Source organism: Homo sapiens, chromosome 20 (assembly GCF_000001405.40).
Source record: "Homo sapiens chromosome 20, GRCh38.p14 Primary Assembly".
Classification (NCBI taxonomy): Eukaryota; Metazoa; Chordata; class Mammalia; order Primates; family Hominidae; genus Homo; species Homo sapiens.
Window position 1 is genome coordinate 39,331,563 of NC_000020.11, and position 4,796 is coordinate 39,336,358.

A 4,796-nucleotide genomic window follows, 5' to 3' on the forward strand; every position below is an offset into this window, starting at 1 on the left:
TTACCATTGAACTTTACTCCTGAAGAAACTGAGGGTTATAAAGGTCAAGGGACTTCCCCAACGTCATCAATTTGCTAACTGAGAAAGAAAGGTGTATGAGTCCAGGTATATCTGTCTCCAGAGCATGCAGACTTAGATGCTATCCTTGACTCCCTTTCTCAAAGCAATTCCATTGATAGATTCTGTGTGTTTGATGTCATTAGTAAGCAGTGAAGAATTGCTGAGGGAAGCTTCTTGAAAAAAAAAAAAAGGATCAGATTCGGAAGTTGGCTTACTGTGACAACAGGACTACTCCCAGTCTAGCTTGTCCATGAAGCTGCTGCCATTTATGCTGCAGAATGAAGAGCTCTTATAGTAGATTATAAAAATGGCCACAATATTATGTAGCTTCTTCCATAAAGAGGTATTTCTCCACTCCATTAATCAGGACTGCTTTTTGCCTTCCTTTTGGCCAATAGAATGCAACAGAAATGACTTTTTATGAATTATGAGCCTGGGCCTCTGCTTTCGTCTCTTAGAACCTGCCACTACCAAATAAACAAGCCTAGGCTAGTCTGGTGGATGGGTAGAGACATATGGTCACCCCACTGACCACCAGCCAACCCACAGAAGCAGAGGCATTTAGTCATGATCAGCAGCCAATCATGATGTATGGGGAATCCCAACCAAGATCAGCAGAAGAACTTCCAACCTGAGCCCAAAGCAAATTGTTGACCCATAGAATTGCTGTTTTAAGTTTTGGAGGAGTTTGTTATATGGTAAAAGGTAACTAACACTCATGTAAGGTGTCTACGTAGTCTTCAGGCTCTCAGGCCTAGAAGAAAAAAGTGTCTTAGACTTTTGGGATAAAATATCCAAGAAGCCCTTGCATATATGTCCTAGGGGTTTGGGGAAGACAGAAGGCCTATTCAGGATAGGGTGAATTTAAAACCTAGTTGCCAAATTCTTTGACACTGCTCCAATTGAAATGGGAGGTTGTGCACTTTAACCTTGGATCTGAGTACTGTGATTGCTTGATCAACAGAATATGGTGAAAGTTACACTGTGTTAGTTTCTGGGCCCAGGCCTTAAGAAACTGGTAGTTTCCACCTACTGTCTCTTGGAACACTCATTCTTGGAACTCAGCCACCACGTTATAAGGAAGGCTAAGTAGCCCGTTGAGTGGCCCATGGGATGAGAAACATGTGGAGAAGAATAGAAACCCTTAGCTGGCCCTCAGCCTTGACTGAGCTCTCAGATGACAGTCTTGTGAGTGAGCCACTTCGAAGTGGATATTCTAGGCCCCAGTCAAGCTGCCCAGCTGATGCTGCAAGGAGCAGAGATGGGCCTTCCCTGTGCAGTCCTGAGCAAATGTACATTTGTGAACTAAATACAGATGCTCTTTGACTTATGATGGAGCTACATCCCAATAAAACCACTGTAGGTTGGAAACATCATAAGTTGAAGATGCATTTAATACACCTAGTCTACATCATAGCTTAGCCTCTTCTACTTTAAATGTGCTCGGAACACATATTATCCTAATGTTGGGCAAAAGTCATCTAACACAAAGTCCATAAATCAAGTGTTGAATATCTCATGTAATTTATTGAATACCATGCTGAAAGTAAAAAACAGAGTGGTTGAATGGGTACTTGAAGGACGGTTTTTACTGGGTGTGTATTACTTTCACACCATTATGAAGTTGAAAAATTGTAAGTGGAACCACCATAGTTGAGAAGCATCTGGAAATGATTTAATCCACCAAGTTGGGAGGTGGTTTGCTATGCACCAATAAATAACTGGAGGGATCCTGGAGACATGAGATTCTCCAAAAACGTGGTGAATGCTTTGCTTTGGGGGATGAACAAAGGGCCTTTCTCCCAGCAGAGTGCTTGAGGGCCTGTTTTATCTTTCTCGTAGCACTTACTGTCACCACACATGTGCTTGCTTATTCAAGAGGCTAAGCAATGAAAAAGCAGGGACTGTGTTCTCATCACTACTATATGCCCAGGATCTAGAACAGAGTCCGACACACAGTAGGTGCTGAAGAAGTAGCTGTGGAATGAATGCAAAGATGGAAGACAGAGAGTTGACACAATGCTCAGTTCTGATTTTGTGCCAGGACTTTTACTTACAGAATTTTATGTAATTTCAACCTTCAGAGAAAGGCATTCTTCCTATCTTACAGATAAGGATACTCTGGCACTAAGAAAGGAAATGATTTGTACAATATCCGACAACTATTAGGTGGGTAAACCTGGGTCCTAACCCAGGTTTTTTGAATCTGTATCTTAAACTCTTCCTACAATGCTGTGGTGCTTTCCTCTTTTGGGCCCAGATGTCCCTACGAGGACCTAATAAGGGTATTTTTTACACACAGCCTGCACACACACATGCACACACATTCATACACACAATGGTTGCATATACTTTCAGGACTCACAGACTCTTGGTATAAGAACCCTTTTCTTATGCCATGAAAAGGAAAGGCACCTGGTTCTTACAGACTTTTGCTTTGTGCCTTTTCTTCAGCTAAATTGAGTTATTAACTAATTATGGCTTGTGAAGTCCTCGGAAAATACTAAATATGGTTATTAGTGAAGCTTTGATTTTAGAGAACAGCAAGGGAGTCCTGAATAAGCAAATAACAGTTGTGTAGGGAGGCTGGCAGCCGACGACATGCTGCGGTGTATAATCAAACTCTGCGAGGCTGTCAAAGGTACTTCAGCTCACTGCTTGCTACATTGGTCCTTACTGGGAGTTTATACATTTTCAGAGAACAGGATTCATTACTAATTGATTGATTTTCTAAGGCTCCCCATGTTTCATCTTCCAGCATCTATTTAACCTTTATTCTGCACTCCGCCCCCAAACCAACTCTTTTACTCACAGCAGATAACTCTACCTCTTCTTAGAAAAAATAGAAGCTCCACCTGAATTTCATCCCTGCACCCCCAAATATTTCCATCTAGATTATTATTACATCTTTCTTGGAGTACATCTAGATTACATACCATCTAGCCCTGCTTGCCCCCCTTTCAGACTATGCCCCCTTCAGAACTGGCTTTATGCACATGTGACTTGTGCAGTCACACAGGACTCCACTGTCAGAAAGGCCCCTTGTGAAGACGATGCTCTGTTATTGTCACCTTGAAATTTTTCATAATTTTTGAACAAGGGGCCCCATATTTTTATCTTGCACTGAGCCCTACAAATTACAGAGCCAGTCCTGCCCACTTCCAGTTGAATGTTTGATGTGAATCCTTCCAGTTATAACTGTGCATGTTGCTCCAAAGACCTCACTTCATCAATAATGTCTTGTTCTTTCAACTGTTCCCACTATACTCACTGACAACTTTCAGTCTACAATTCCTCATCCAAAAGAAATGAGCAAAATTCCTCTGATCAAGGTAATGACTGTCAGTTCTATATTGGGATATTTTTAGGGGGTTTCAAGGGACAGAAACCTAAGTGAAACTAGTTTAAGTGAAACAAGGATGTTTATTATATTACATGAACAAATTGTGGAAGAGTCAGGAGTGGAGCTGGCTACAGGGACAACAGGACTCTAAGATGTCACCCCTCTTCATCTGTATTCGTGTCCCCATGCTAGTGTTTTTCTTTCAGTTATTTTTCCATGTGATGGAAACTTGTCTGTAGGTAGTGCCAGACCAGATTCCTGCGGCTTGGCATCAAAGAGAAAAGGGACCATTGTCATCTAGTTTGAATAAATACAAAATCTGATGAAGAGTTCTAATTGTCTCTACTTGGGTCATGAGTTTATTCTTGGACCAGTCGCTGTCACCTGTGAAAAGGGGCACTCTGATTGGCTGTTGAGATCTGAATCTCATTGTTGGAGTTCTGGGAGAGCAGTTCTCTATGGGAAGGTGAGCATGATCATGGGAAGACAGAGCAATCAGTGTCTACCCTGGACCCCTTCTACCCAGAATCTCGGCTCTCTCTTTTTCCCTTCATGGTCAATGCCATTGCAAAGCCATCTATTTGAAAAATAGTCTACATTCACTCACCTGACTTCTTCACCTCCCACCACCTCTAAATATTTTTATTGTCTCTCTGAAACTGCCTTTGTCAAGATCATCACTGGTTTCCTTGTGGTCAAATCTATAGGTAAATTTTTAATGACCTCTTATTCACTTCCTTGCAATATGTTGCATCTGGTTATTCTTTCTTAGGAAATCTCTCCTTTCTTGTTTTTTATTTTTTCCTGGGCTTTGTTCTCCTTGTCTTTCAAACCAGCTCCTCCAAGGTCTGTCTTTTATTGATCTCAGTTTCCCTGTTTCTGGGCTTGTCTCCTGATCGGGTTCTTTAACATGTCCCATGAATCTGCCACGGATAGCTTCTCTTATCCCTGATATACCGTGCCTACTAGTGCTGACCATATTTTGCCAATTCAGTCATCCAGGAGAGAAAAAACGGTGAAATGGGTTTGGTTCAGGGTGTATGGCTATTAACAAGAAAATAATGAGAAGAATTCCAACAATTATTAAAAAGGTAGAATCACTTGGACTTGATGATAGGTTGGAAATGGAGAGAAAGAGAGAGGGAGAGGCTGAAAATACCTTTTAAATTTCTGGCTTGGGACTAGGTGGTGGATGCTGCCATTCACAAAATAAGGGCAGTAAGTGTGCATGTGATTAAATGTACATGCTTTTGAGTTCCGGGATGCCTACTTGGGTGTACATACACATACGTGTATAGTACATGCTTATGTGAATGTACTTGTCTTTTTGTGAGTGAGGACTTTTGAGCAGTTGGAGGTGTGGAGAGCATGTGGTATAAGTCAAGGTATGCAT